The sequence below is a fragment of the Homo sapiens genome, chromosome 13 (assembly GCF_000001405.40).
Source record: "Homo sapiens chromosome 13, GRCh38.p14 Primary Assembly".
Lineage (NCBI taxonomy): Eukaryota > Metazoa > Chordata > Mammalia > Primates > Hominidae > Homo > Homo sapiens.
The window spans coordinates 51955300-51970312 of record NC_000013.11 but is presented as its reverse complement, the minus strand read 5'-3'; the positions used below and the strand labels follow the sequence as shown (position 1 = coordinate 51970312).

At 45.6% G+C, this 15013-nt stretch overlaps 1 protein-coding gene and 1 pseudogene across 41 annotated transcripts in view; one reads left to right on the top strand and one right to left on the bottom strand.

The window, feature by feature from the left end:
* Positions 1 to 15013, top strand: part of ATP7B (ATPase copper transporting beta) — a 79464-nt gene that overhangs the window by 41820 nt on the left and 22631 nt on the right. For 15 of the 41 annotated variants that reach the window (NM_001406513.1, NM_001406511.1, NM_001406516.1 and 12 more), the window contains 6 exons: positions 1706 to 1869; positions 5280 to 5441; positions 8400 to 8476; positions 9991 to 10165; positions 11769 to 12002; positions 12706 to 12797. The exons of 1 other annotated variant lie outside the window; for it this stretch is intronic. In NM_001406513.1, coding sequence (NP_001393442.1) covers positions 1706 to 1869; positions 5280 to 5441; positions 8400 to 8476; positions 9991 to 10165; positions 11769 to 12002; positions 12706 to 12797 — 904 coding nt within the window. The remainder of the gene's footprint in view (positions 1 to 1705; positions 1870 to 5279; positions 5442 to 8399; positions 8477 to 9990; positions 10166 to 11768; positions 12003 to 12705; positions 12798 to 15013) is intronic. 25 more of the 41 variants (NM_001406527.1, NM_001406528.1, NM_001406534.1 and 22 more) reach the window with 7 other exon arrangements.
* FABP5P2 (fatty acid binding protein 5 pseudogene 2) lies at positions 2973 to 3631 on the bottom strand (annotated as a pseudogene).

Genomic DNA, 15013 nt, shown 5'->3' with positions numbered 1-15013 from the left:
TATTTAGTTTGAGATAAAATATATCTCTGAGTAAGTTAGCCATTGAAAATCCAGTTTAAAGGTCATAGTACCTTTTGTGGATAGACTTCTCAGTTAGGTTGTACTAGTATTATTCCATATTTTGTTCCCTCCCATCCCATCAACCCCTTACTATAAAATGAATAAATAACCTGCATTTTGTATAGAAGTTCCAATTTCAAATATTCTTTCTTGTTGTTCCTGTAAACCAGAGAGTGTTTGTAGGAACAACAGGACAGAAATATGTGGAAATGTCAAAGTTTTGTCCTCCAGAATGCATTTCCAATACTTTTAAACCTGAAAGTACAATAAAATTCGGATCCATTTATTTGTTTGGAAAATCTCTTAACCATGACTCTACCTTGCCACCAGAATCACTTTCTCTTTTCTTACCCCAGTGATGTGTCTTTTTACTTGAACTCCCTGGCCCTTAGAATCAGCCCTGAATTCAGATGACATGTTTTTCCAGCCTCTTGTTCACTATGCATTATAGCTTCCTGCAGCTCTAGAGTGACTGTTAGCAGATGGAGGTGTTAATAGGAGATCCCTTGTTATCCATGGTCTGACTGCTCATAAAATTAGCCTATAATCTCCTATAGCCTATGTTTCTGTTCCTGACTTGAATCCTCATTTTTATCCTATGTGGCATCCTTTCTGAAGCACTTCCTTCCTTTCATTTATTTGAACGAGGCTTTTTTTCCCATGTAAAACTAACACAATAGTGTTAGCAAGATTGTGGGATTTCTTTTTCATACCTGAAAGTCATTAGAAACTATAAAAGAGTAAGGAAAACCACTTTTGAAAATTCTTTATTTTTTCCTTGTATGAAAGTATCTGGAGAAAAGGAGAAAAAAAAAAAAGGATATCCTTCCGGTAACAGCAGTCAATAACTGCAGACCACATTCCTTATTTCATTGGTGTCTTCTAAAGCCTGAGTGAGAATGTGTCCATGGGCAGGCAGCATGAGCATCACCTGGGAGCTGGATGGACCTGCAGACTCTCAAACCTCATCCTAGACCGACTAGTCAGAAGCTCTATTTTAACAAGGTCCTCGGGTGATTCATATGTCCATTAAAGTTTGAGAAGCATTGTTCTTCTAGAATAGTGGTTGTCAGACTTCCCTGTACATTAGGATCACCTGGGGAGCTTTTTTTTTTTAAAAAAAAATGATGCCTTGGGAGGCCAAGGCGAGCGGATCACAAGGTCAGGAGTTCAAGACCAGCTTGACCAACATGGTGAAACCCCATCTCTACTAAAAATACAAAAATTAGCTGGGCATGGTGGCACGCACCTGTAACCCCAGCTACTCAGGAGGCTGAGGCAGGAGAATCACTTGAACCCTGGAGGCAGAGGTTGCAGTGAGCCGAGATCATGCTACTGTACCCAGCCTGGGCAACAGAGTGAGATTCCATCTCAAAAAAAAAAAAAAAAGAAAAAAGAAAAAAAGATGCCTGCCACCTACCCTGGGATACTCTGATTTGGTTGGTCTGGGTAAGAGACCAGACATCGTGATTGTCGAAGGCTTTCCAAGCAAGCCTCATGTGCAGCCTCATTTTCAAACAGTGTTTGAAAACTGCTGTTCTAGAGGATTCTGGGAAGATGTGTTTCTTTGTTCGGTTATATTGACTGTGTCAACCTAGAGGCCCTGCCCACCCAGAGTGTTACAGCCATGACCTGATGGTTCCAGGTGTTCTCTCCGTGTTGGTTGCCTTGATGGCAGGAAAGGCAGAGATCAAGTATGACCCAGAGGTCATCCAGCCCCTCGAGATAGCTCAGTTCATCCAGGACCTGGGTTTTGAGGCAGCAGTCATGGAGGACTACGCAGGCTCCGATGGCAACATTGAGCTGACAGTAAGTACTGTGGGTGCGTTACGGGGTTACAGGCTTCTGACAGTTTGCATTTTGGACACATCCATCTTTGTGATTAGTAAATTTCCCCATCTTGGACGTGTCTGGTTTGTTGTTGTTGGGTATTTTGTTTGTTTCACTTTCCTTTGAAGCCGACAACAATGACTTGTTCATTTTAAGAAAGGTCAGTTACGTTAAACAGTCATGGGGAGGATCCCACTGAGAGTATTCAGGGTGTTAGGAGGAAGAGATGGTGAGCTGCAGGAGTATAGAAGAAACAGGAATTAAAGACGGTGGACTGCCCTGAGCTGGGTGGTTAGGGGGAGTTGAACATGAACACAGTCCTTCAAGCCTAAAAAGAAGCTAGCATGCCTGCAACTATCTCAAGGCAGAAGAGGGAAGTCCATGTGGTAGAAAGTGCCATTCTAAGAGAAAAGGGCTTGTGATAGGTGCATGGGTGTCTAGAGGGCCAAAGTGCTCCACAACACTCAGTCTGAGGGGAATGCTCCAGGTAGTGATTGTTGCCAGTGTTTTGGGTGGGGAGGTATTATTTCCCATCTGTCTACGTGCCAACACATTATTGAAAACAATGGATGTGTCTGATGCCTAGAACATGCTATGTTTGAAAGCACTTCTGTACTTTTTGTACAGCTCTTTTTGTGTAAGCAAAGGGAGACTTAGAAGAACTCACAGAGAATTGAATGATGCTGCTTTACCCAGGCCAGAGGGTTTCTACTTCCTTTGTGTGTTTTGTCAGTGCCATTAGTGGTAACTGGATGTTTGAGGGGAAAGCACTGAGGACACAGAGGCCCATGAGCTCCTGATAAGCCGTGTTCTTTGTGGAGCAAACCCTTTGCTGTGGTAGGGCCTCCCTGTGTCTGGAGGGCATAGCTGATACTTGCTGGGACACAGCTTTGGTCAGCCCCACAAGAGGTGCCCAACAAGAGGGGCAGGGTCTCTGCTGCAAACCTCTGGATCTACATGTGGACATCTCTGCCTGCTCAGACTTCTATGTGGAAAATCTAAAGCAAGAGGATTATTGGAAAAGGTGTACATTTCTTTTAAACAATTTTTTTATTGTAGTGTTCTTTTTTCTTTTAGCACACATTTATTAAACAAAGGGATAATCCTAATTAATCCAACACACTTTGAAATAACTGCATGTAAAATGTTTGTGATAAAGATAATTGAACACAGTAATGAAAAAAAAAAGAAAGAAACAGTATGGAGATTTGCTCATTGAACTGAGCTTGGTCATTCTCTTAGTTAACTCCTGTCCAAAGTGATGATGGAATTTTTATTCTACTTTTTCATAGATCCGAGTACAGGTGACATTGTTCATGACACACTCCACCACTAATTTCCCATCTTTCAATTTTCTTGTTATTGTGCTTTCCTTCCCATCCCACTCCTGATGCTGAACCAATGCACCATCTGTAAAGTTGCAGACAGTCTGTGTTTTTCTGCCATCAGCTGTGGTTTCTTCAAACTCATCTCCCAGGGTACAAGAAAACTGTGTTGTTTTCAAAGTGCTCTCGGTTTTTGTGGTGAGGTTTCTGCCATCACAAGTGATGATACAATCTGGCTTGGCCATTGCGCCCATTTTTTGCAAAGCTATTCCCACTCCTAGCTCCTTCATGTATTCATCAAAGCCTTTGCTGTCCAGCAGGCGCCATCTTCCTTCCAGCTGCTGAACTGTGGCCATGGTGGGTGCGGGCGGGCTGGCGTGCAGAGCAGGGTCTACGTCGGCATGGCAGCATGCTGTGTCTGTAGTGTTCTTTTTTTAAAAAAACCATGCTGTATCAATAGTTGCATTGTCATCACATATTCAGATTTTATGTGAATTTCTGCATTTAACTAGTCTTCTAGGAAGTGCTGACCACTGATACTCAGAAGAGTGAATTGTCTGTTTGCTTCATATTTGCCTAATACATATCCCAGGAATAGCACGTCACACTTAAGACTTCCCTTTCCCATGTCAGGATACACAACATGGTACGGCACAAGCGGTGTAGGCTTTAAAAACCGGGTTTGAGTTTTGGCCCTGTCGCTGCAGGGATACTTCTGAACCTGGTCTGAGAAGACTCACCTCATGCTGCAGATGGCAGTGGCTCAGAGCAGATTCTGGAGCCAGCCCATCTGGGGACGTGCTTCAGCTCTACCCGTCACTAGTTGCGCGACTTTGGACAAGTTCCTAAACCTCTCAGTACTGCGGTTTTGAGACTTACCTCTTAGGTTTGGTGTGAGTAGCACAATGCCTAGGACAGCACCAGCCATGTTGCAAGTGCAAAGTAAATGCTACCTGTTATTGTTGTTGTTATAAAAACAAAAGGAGAGCAGAGAAGTACCATTGAAATATTTGGATACTTGATTTTTAAAATTCTGTTGGCAGTCACCTGCCAACAGATAAGCTCCTAAGTTTTCCTGGTGGTCCTTGCAGTCCCATTTTTTCCTTGGGTCTTGGGCCAAGTTGAATGCATTCTGATTGCAGATGAGCTCCCCTCTTCTTCCTCCCTAATTCCAGATGGGACCCTTGGCTCTTTTTGTATTTATTCTGGGATCACTGATGCGAATTTCAGCATGCAGCTCCAGTCACATCATTCCACTGCTCATTACCCCTCAGTGACTTCGCATCAGGTGCTAGCTTAGCAACACTTTAGCTGGCTGCTTGAGAGCCTTCAGGCTGTGGACCCATCCAGCCCTGCAGCCTTCCCTCCTCTCCCTCGAGCATCCTGTGTCCAGAGAAGCCTGGCTTTTGATGTTTGCCTGAATACATCATGCTATCCTGCCTGTCGTCTTTTTCGAGCTTCTCCTTCTGGTAGTGTCCTTCCCTTCACTTGTCAATAGCCTATTTGTACCTTGGGACCACCTTTGATTACATCTCCTGCATCAGCCACTTTTCTCCTGTTAATAAGAGGTATTAACATCATTACCCTTGGAGCCAGCAGAGCACTAAAATAGGGAGGATGCTAGCAGCAGCTGCAGACCGCATGCCAGCAACACTCAGGATTACGGAGAGTATTTCAGGAGTGCAGCGAGTTTCACAGAAGTGCACAACCCCGTACAGGCATTAGTATCCCGGCTTTGCCAGTGAGGTAACAGACAGTGGAGAGGGGCTTATAAAAGCCCATCTGTATCAGAGCCGGAAGTCAAGCCTTGGTCTGTTGCCATCTGCTTCACGATTGGCTGTCTCTTGTACCTGTTTTGGGGAAGAGCTACTCTTTAGTCCCTGAAGCCGCTGGAGGAACGTTGAGAATCTCACATGCGGGGTTTGGAGGTGGAGTCCAGGGTCTTGAGAGCAGTGCTGAGGAGGGAAAGGCTCTTGGCTGCCTGTTACCTAGACTCCCTGGACTGGCTTTCACAGGCTTTCCTTGATCCTGGGTCTGTGGGATTCTTGCCATCCTGTGTTGCAGATCACAGGGATGACCTGCGCGTCCTGTGTCCACAACATAGAGTCCAAACTCACGAGGACAAATGGCATCACTTATGCCTCCGTTGCCCTTGCCACCAGCAAAGCCCTTGTTAAGTTTGACCCGGAAATTATCGGTCCACGGGATATTATCAAAATTATTGAGGTAAGTAATTCATTAAAAAATTGTAGTCACCTTTTTAAAAACAGTAATATATAATCAGTGAAGAAAAATGAGAAAATATAGCTAAGAAAAAATGAAAATAACCAAAATTCTTCAACTTTTCCCATGGAAATAAGCTCAGTCATTTTAAAATAAACTGCAGGTAAGTAAATAATAAATAATCTGAGGGAGGATATCAGTGAATGGGTAAGAGAAAGATGAGGAAAAGACATTATTATTGTTTTAATTTTAGATATTCCCTAAGAAACATCAATATTGTCAAGATACCCTGTACATAGGGTTAAAGTGCCTAATTGTAATTTTTAAGTGTGATCTTTGCCCAAACGAAGTATCTGTAGAGCAAAGGAACGTTGGCCTTGGAAAAAATGATCCACATTTTGCCACTATGCCAGGCCACTCTTGTTGTGGAGAGCTTGGCCGCTTCTGCTTTGGAAAATCCGTGAGAATTTTCATGCGTGCCCTGCCTCTTACTCCCTTCCCAGTTTGTCCACAGACATGCTATTTCCTTTTTACATTTTATACAATACTAGGCTATAAGAGAATGAGCATCAGTGGTGATCTGAATGGGTTAAGGCAGTCAAAACTGAAAAAGATTAACTTGTAACAGCTAGTAAGGATAAATTAAGTTTAGTGGGAACTACATGTTATAAAATCGCTTATGAAATGAAGCCTCTTATAGCAGGCTTAATGTAGTATCCTGAATTTCCTCTTCATTGTGTGTGTGTGTGTGTGTGTGTGTGTGTGTTTAAAGAGAGATGCTGTCTGTTATGTGGCCTGGGAAAGCTTTTTTTTTCTTTCTTTTTTTGACAGAGTCTCATTCTGTCGCCCAGGCTGGAGTGCAGTGGCATGATTTTGGCTCACTGCAACCTCCGCCTCCCAGGTCAAGAGATTCTCCTACCTTAGTCTCCCCAGTAGCTGGGACTACAGGCGTGCACCGCCATGCCTGGCTAATTTTTGTATTTTTACTTGAGATGGTGTTTCGCCATGTTGGCCAGGCCGGTCTCAAACTCCTGACACCTTAGGTGATCCACCTGCCTGGGCTTCCCAAAGTGCTAGGATTACAGATGTGAGCCACTGTGCCCGGCCTTGGAGAGTTTTTTTTTTTTTTTTTTTTTTTGAGACGTGGTCTCGCTCTTGTCCCCCAGGCTGGAGTGTGATGGCATGATCTCGGCTCACTGCAACCTCCGCCTCCTGGGATCAAGCGATTCTCCTGCCTCGGTTCCCCGAGTAGTTGGGATTACAGGCACCTGCCACCATGCCTGGCTAATTTTTGTATTTTTGGTAGAGACAGGGTTTCATCATGTTTTCCAGGCTGGTCTAGAACTCCTGACGTCAGGTGATCCACCTGCCTCAGCCTCCCAAAGTGGTGGGATTACAGGCATGAGCCACCGTGCCTAGCCCCGGGAAAGCTTTTTGACATGGAAATGATCATGCTGCTGATGGTCCAGGGCCCCACCCTTGGAGGCAGACAGCATAGCTTTTTTATCAGCTGAGGAAAGATGCTCAGAGAGGTTAAGTAACTTTACTCACAATACCCAGCTCACGGACAGCAGAACTGGTGTTCAAACCCAGGTCTTGTGCTTCCGAGCTCAGTGGCCTTTGTGAGTCTAGTACACCACAAATCTTAAAGAACAGTAGTGATATGGCATTGATGAGGCTCAGACATCAGACTGATGCAGTCAACAGCAAGGAGAGTCCCATGTGGTGCTTTTGAACACAACTTAGTCACCATTTCTGATTTCTTTCTTTCTTTTTTTTTTTGAGTTGGTGTTTTGCTCTTGTTGCCCAGGCTGGAGTGCAGTGGCATGGTCTCAGCTCACTGCAAGCTCTGCCTCCCGGGTTCAAGCAATTCTCCTGCCTCAGCCTCCCGAGTAGCTGGGATTACAGGTATGCACCACCACGCCTGGCTAATTTTTGTATTTTTAGTAGAGATGGGGTTTCGCCATGTTTGTCAGGCTGGTCTCGAACTCCTGACCTCAGGTGATCCACCTGCCTCGGCCTCCCAAAGTGCTGGGATTACAGGTGTGAGCCACTGTGCCCAGCCAACCCTTTTTGATTTCTGATACCTCACTTGCTTCTATGCTACCCAGCCTGCTAAGTGTGGTGTGGCATCCATGCTGACCTTATTTGGGGACTATTGCTAATGTCTGTCCTCCATTCTTGCATCTCTGGGCCATTTTTTGCTAATATAATTAGGCTGGTATTACTTGTAAAAGGATTTGTCTTTAGACAGTCTCAGCTGCTCTTCCTCCCACCCCAACTTTTAATTTTTGTGTAAAAGTCCCAGCACCAGAGTTCTGGGGCCCTTCTCTTAATTGTGCTACCAGACAAGAGCATTCGTGGCAGTTTTTCCTGTGTGTATTCATAAAGAGTATCAGAGATATAGTGGTCAGATGAACGTGGTAACAAAGCGCTTGAGTTAAACTGTGAGCAAAGCACAAGATTGCGGTGTAGGCTCTGTTGGGGCACAGTGGAAGCTGTGCTTCCAAATGCTGAAGGAGCCGAGTTCTGCCGCAGTGGCAAGAAGCCTGGGCTGGAAGCTGGAGGCTGGAGCTCTGAGTCCAGCTCTTCTGAGAAGGGTGGGGCTTTGGGCAAGGTATTTATCCTCTCCGACCTTCTGTTTCCTCATACATGGAATGAAGATTTCTGACCATTAGGTATCTGGGATTCCTTCACTCAAAAATGCTGAGTTTAAATTATAAGTCAGCACTGCTCAGCTTTGGAGTCTGGGGAAGCTGTCTTCCCAGAAGTGCTGAACTTCTGCACAGGGTTTGTAGGGCTATTGGGTAAAGAAGTTGTAAGCAGAAAACCCACAAAGTCTACTGAGGCACTTTTAGATTCACTTTCTAATTTCCAAAGCTGAAAAGTGCTTTCTGCCAATGCATATTTTAACCAAGTACCTTCCTCCTTTTTCCCCACCCCTCTCTTTTTAATGACAAGGAAATTGGCTTTCATGCTTCCCTGGCCCAGAGAAACCCCAACGCTCATCACTTGGACCACAAGATGGAAATAAAGCAGTAGGTAGAACACAAAAGATAAACTCCAGCTCTCATCTAAGTCCCTTCCTCTACCTGGGCCCAACTCTGCCAGCTGGTCTTGTCTTCCCATGGTGCCTTCCTCCTGGATTAGCTGCCTTTACCCTTGTAATGTGAACCCTCTGAAACAGTGCTGTCCAAAAGAAGTTCTGGAATGATGGCAGTGTTCTGTATCTGCACTGCCCAGTGTGATAGCCGCTAGTCACATGTAGCTAGTGAGCACTTCAAATGCAGCTAGTGTGACTGTGGAAATGAATTTTTAATTTTTAAGGAATTTCAATTTAGCTACCTTTAGCTAACAGATTGGACAGCACTTAAGTTGGGAGGGAGGGAGAGAGTGTAGATTTTTTTTCCTTTGACAATGTTTTCAGACTTTATTTGCATGGGTTCTAGAACTAGAATTTGAAGGCAGGCATAATGGCTGAGTGGAAAGAAAATGGCCCAGGCGCGGGAGACCTGAGATCATTCATTATTTCAGATGGCCAGTTACTCATTCAGCACCATAAAGGCTGCTGTTGTGTGCAGGGCAGTGTGCTAGGTGCTGGGGATAAATACTTTCCCTGTCTCGGAGGGGCCCATAGTCTGGCTGAGAAAGAGTGAGTGAGCAATGAAATCAATGGCTCTGGCAGATTCTGGAAGGTCTAGGAAAACTCCAAGCAGGGGACATAAGATCTGAGCCTCAAAGAATGAGTGGAAGTTTGCTTGGCTGAAGGAATTGGTGGCGGCTACCCTTGGGGACTGCTGTGGCTTGGTTCAGTAGGCATGCCTGGGGCACAGGAGGAGCTTACGGGAGAGGCATCTGAACAGCCAGTTGGGGGTCTGGTTCTTGGGTAGCAGTCCAACAGCCTAAGACTTCAGCCTCAAAGGCCAGTGGTTTTCATGTCATGTTTTAGGTGCATTTGAGGTTCCACAACCACTCGGTTGGAATTTCATGGATGCTGCAGCTAACATGAGACCACAGCTGTCAGCCATGACCCCCGATTCCAAACTATGGTGTTCATTGAGACAGCCAGTGATCACTGTTCTCATGGACTCTATTTTAAATAATTGTTTAAAGATAGAATGTATAAGTTTATACTAATAAAATACTGCTTTTATCTATTTTTTTCTTTGGGGGTCTGTATAAGATTGCATTTTGAAAAGAAAGCTATAGGCAACCATAGGCCGAGGATGGTAGGCACCTTTGGGGCTAGATTCTCAGCTTTGGGGCCTCACTTGCCTCACCCGTAAATTGGAGGTAACCACAGTATGTGAAGGCAGGGGCTGGGCCTCAACATCTTTGGAACCTCCTTATAGTGATGTTTAGACCTCTAGATGCTCCCTCAGATGGCCAGTGTCAGAGAGAGAGAGTTCTTACTTTCATTTTAACCCCTGGTGGTCTGTCCCAGACATGTGACAAAGGCAGGTCTTAAACTGTGTCCTCAGAAGGGGAGTGGCTTGTAATCCAGGTGACAAGCAGCATCTGATATATCTGTGTTGCTGCATTTGCTTTCCAGGTGGAAGAAGTCTTTCCTGTGCAGCCTGGTGTTTGGCATCCCTGTCATGGCCTTAATGATCTATATGCTGATACCCAGCAACGAGCCCCACCAGTCCATGGTCCTGGACCACAACATCATTCCAGGACTGTCCATTCTAAATCTCATCTTCTTTATCTTGTGTACCTTTGTCCAGGTATATATGAGAAAGTGGGCAGACCTCTCCCTTCCATGCTGTGTGTGGCCCTCAGATATTCTGCCCGCTAAGCGCAAACATAGTGCTTTAGCTTGGTTTAAATGGCACTTTATTGCAGCTTTCCTGCCCCACCCAGGCAGTTGCTGCTTTTTTTCTCTCTTAATGACCAGTAGGTGGGGCTTGGGGCCCCCCCAGTGTGGGGGACTACTAAGGGCCTGGTTTCACTGTCAGTTTCAGTTGATTGCAAGTGATCAGAACTGGCCCTGGAATAGCAACCTCCTTGCTGCAAGGTGTGGTGAACTCTGTGTCTCCAATGTGCATATTGTTTAGGTTAATTTACGTTTGTTGCTGGAAGCAACAACTGGATCACCCTTGAGCCCATGCCACTCTTGAGTGTTCTATCTTAAAAGGTGGAGATATGGTCCTTGTCTTTCAGGAAGTTATAATTTAAAAGAGAAAGGCATGAAACGTCTGCTTTGGTGGTGATATTAAGGAACTAGCTGTGTGTCTGGTGGGAAGTGTGCCCTCTATGTGTATATTTTGGAATATAAAACTAAATCCCTGTCCTAATATTGGAATGTTTAGGGGCTATTTGGGGGCAAGCATTGGTAGGCTGGATTTTTTTTTTTTTTTTTTTTTGAGACAGGGTCTCACCCTGTCACCCAGGCTGGAGTTCAGTGATGTGATCATAGTTCACTGTAGTCTTGAACTCCTGGGCTCAAGCGATCCTCCCACCTCAGCCTCCTGAGTAGCTAGGACCACAAGCGCCTGCCACCATGCCTGGCTAGATAGGGTCTTGCTATGTGCCCAGGTTGGTCTCAAACTCCTGGCCTTCAACAGTCCTCCAAGCTCAGTCTCCCAAAGCTCTGAGATGACAGGTGTGAGCCACTGCACCCAGCCTGAATTTGTGTTTTTCTATATTTTGTTTGATTATAAGTGTAATGTACACTTATTATTAACAATTCAAACCGTACTGAAGTATAAGAAGAAAAGAGGAAGATGCCCTTTCACTGATCACATTCTGCCTCCCGCCCAATCTCATTCCCCAGTGTTGCTATGGTGATATTAATAGTTGGGCATTAATCTCTCCAAATCTTTATATAGAGAAAATGCACACTTGCGTGTATGTGTATGTATATGTTCACGTAATACAGATACAGACTTTTTTAACTGAAATGGGATCATACAAGATAGACTGATGTGCAGCTGGCTTTTTCACTTAACTATGTATTAGACATCTTTTATGCCAGTGGGTTATAGATAGAGCCCATTCTCTTTAGGGAATGGAATGCCTTGTGCTGTCTACAGTACAAATGAGTCGTGATTTTTTTCCCCAACTTTTCACCATTCTCTTATTAGAGGACATTTGTGTTGTAAGCACTGGGTTTTAAAGGTCTCACATGCTCTTGGTCATCCATTCCTGTGGACAGTAGTCCTCTGAATGGGAAAGTATATTTCATAAACGCCCATCACAGAGGAAGAAGTACTGTCACGACTGTGCACAAAGCTAGAGGCTTTGCCATCCCCAGGGCCCTTGGCCCTGTGTCGCTCATTGAACTCTCCTCCCTACTTGCTGGCAGCCTTCACTGTCCTTGTCTTTCAGCTCCTCGGTGGGTGGTACTTCTACGTTCAGGCCTACAAATCTCTGAGACACAGGTCAGCCAACATGGACGTGCTCATCGTCCTGGCCACAAGCATTGCTTATGTTTATTCTCTGGTCATCCTGGTGGTTGCTGTGGCTGAGAAGGCGGAGAGGAGCCCTGTGACATTCTTCGACACGCCCCCCATGCTCTTTGTGTTCATTGCCCTGGGCCGGTGGCTGGAACACTTGGCAAAGGTAACAGCAGCTTCAGGTTCAGAAAAGAGCTGCTCCTTCAGTAAACAAATCTCACTTCCTCTGAACACCATGTTTAGAATTACTAATTATACACAGCATAGAGACAGACTTAAAGAAATAGGAAACCTCCATATAATTAAGGTGCTCTAGTCACTAATCTCCAAATTGGTCACTACTTCTGAAATCCCAGCTAATCTGGTTAATTATTAAAACCATCATTCAGGTGTATTGTGTAAACTAAAGAAACCTGGCCTTCAGGGCAGAGCCTACATTGTCTCTTGGTGCAAAACTGAATATGTAGTTGGTCTAGACATCCATACATCCTCCTCAAGGTCATGCCATTTTTAACACCCTTCATTGTCCCCAACACTGAAATGTATCTTACAAGAGAATGGAACTCAGGCCCTAAAAGAAATTAGATTGAACCTAAAAGAAAATGGTCAGTGGGAAGACTGATGTTTGTTTCCAGTCTGAAATGTAATTCCCGGACTTTAGTGGCACAGGCACTGTGCATCACTGTGGAAGTGACATGTGGCCATGTGTGGTGGATAGCAAGTAACGCCCACCTGCAGAGCCTTTTATCGTGCCGTGCGGCTGTTTCTCTCGCACCAGCTGTCTCTAACACCACGCTTGTGACTCTCAGGCTGGGTTTGGACAGGTCTGCTTTCGATAGCTCTCATTTCACATTCTGGTTATTTCCTAGAGCAAAACCTCAGAAGCCCTGGCTAAACTCATGTCTCTCCAAGCCACAGAAGCCACCGTTGTGACCCTTGGTGAGGACAATTTAATCATCAGGTGAGTTATGGTTATCAAATGTCTTTGTGGTTGGTATCTATCAATCTGTGTGAGCTGCATCAGATGCCCATGTTGTATTGACATTGCAATAGACCTTGTGAGTGTGGGCAGAGACACAGTAAGATCACCACTCTCAATCCAGCTACGAAAGCAAGGCATTGAACTATAAAACTAGCAAGATTTGTAGGTGGTGTGTGTGTGCGAAATGGCACATGGGAGGTGTAGATGATTAGTATTCCAGGAATTAAGAAGAGGAAGGCCAGTGTTGGTCAAGGGAAACTTCACAGAGAACATAGAGTATGAATTAGGCCTTCCTAGTAAGATACACATTCAGACAGGCAGAGAGATAAGGACTTCAACTTGCTAAAGAATAAAAATTGAAGGAGAAATTTATCTTCTTCTTAAGGTTGCCTGATATTAAAAATAATAATTATTATTATTCCTGGAAACTCTTGTTGCATTTATTGTTTGCTAGACACTATTCTAATCTCTTTGTATTTAATCTAACCAAAGATGGAAACTTTCTGAGGCAGGGACTATTATTACTCTTAATTTACAGATGAGGAAGCTGAGGTTCAGAGAGGCTAAGCAACTGGCCCAAGGTCACACAGGTATTCAGTAATGGAATTGGGATGTAACCCAGGCTGGTGGATCCAGAGTCTATTTTCTTAACCTTTACACACACTGACTCTTAATGCATATTTAATAATATGGAAATTTTTCTAATTAAGGCTTCTGTATTTCCTTGGGGTTAGCTTCTTTTTTATATTCTAGGCAATGGTTATTTCAGCCCTCCTTCATATTCCTAAAATCTCTCCCTGGTCCCACCACATTTTCTATTAGCCTGTGGTCTCGCTTTGGACTACTGGAAGGAGAAGTGTTCAGATGGAAACCCTCCAGTTCCCTGTCCCTCAGCCTACACAGCTAGCCTCCTCCGTGGCACCTCCCGCTCCTGCCCCGTTGGTGGGAGAGGCGTCTCCTCCAATGCCTCTACCCGGGAACCTTTCTCTGTTGGTTTTCTCAGTGGTTTTTGGTGTCTCTGATTCTTATCCTCCGATGTCATGCAGACTCTAACCACTCCCATTTTCAGAGGCGTTGTGCCTTGCCCCTCCCTTGTGTGCCCTTGTCCATGTATCACACTGTTGATGGAGCCAGCCTGCCCTAGCTGTGTCCTGGAGGCCTGGGCGTGAAGGCTGAGACAGACCCCTTGCTTCCCCATGGGGTCTGCAGGGCTGGTGCAGCTGGCCCTGGGCACGCCCCAGGTGAGTAGAGGAACTGACCGGGGCCACACAGATGCATGAGTGTTCATGAGGTGCAGGCTGGCTGCTGCGCGGTGGCACTGGTTTTGTTCTGGATCCTGGCTTTTAAATGATCATCACAATTGTAGGACTGGCAACTGAGATTTGAGTCCTTCTGGTGTTCCAGGCTCACTCCCCAGCACTTGCCACAGATCGTCTAGTTCCACTCTGTAGCTGTTCCGTGAGGCAGCACTGTCATCATCCCAGCTTTCCTCAGGAAAAGCCAAGTGCAGTGAGGTGGAGTAATATCCCCAGAGTCCATGGCAGGCAGGCAGCAGAGCTGGGATTGGAACCCTGGAGGCACAGAGCCCCCCTCAGCCACTGTGCTGCGCTGCCCCCAAACAGGACCCTGTGTGACGGCACCTGGCATGCTGGGCTCTGCTGTGCCATGGGTCTGCAGCAGTCACATGCCTTGGCTTCTTTTTTTTTTCTTCTCTTATAAATTAATTGCATGAAAGTTTCTGAGAAGTGAAAACGTTCAGACAGGGAGCCAAGCCGCTGGCAGCTGTGTTGGTTTTGACTCATGTTTCCTCCAACTCGCCTTGCTAGGGTCTTCGGTACAGTTTGAGGCGCCTCTGATGGCACTGACTGCAGTTGCTTGGAACTATTCCAGGGATCTGAACAGGAGGAGAAGGCATCTGCCGGCCGAAGTGCCCACGGGGTGCGTGCAGCACCTGTCATAACTCAGTTCTTTTCCAAGAATGCCGATTCATTTTTTGGCTGGGGACGCACGGCCTGACTACTACCATGCAACATGACAGGACATTATTAAGCTAGGGGCCAGAAGACCAGAGTTCATTCTGCCTTTGGCTCACTGTTTGGGTGTGGTCATTCCTACTTGCCTCCTGACAGCACACCCCGAGCCCAACCCTCTGTCCCAGGCCAAGGCTGCACCCACTGCCGCCTGGATTGCCGCAG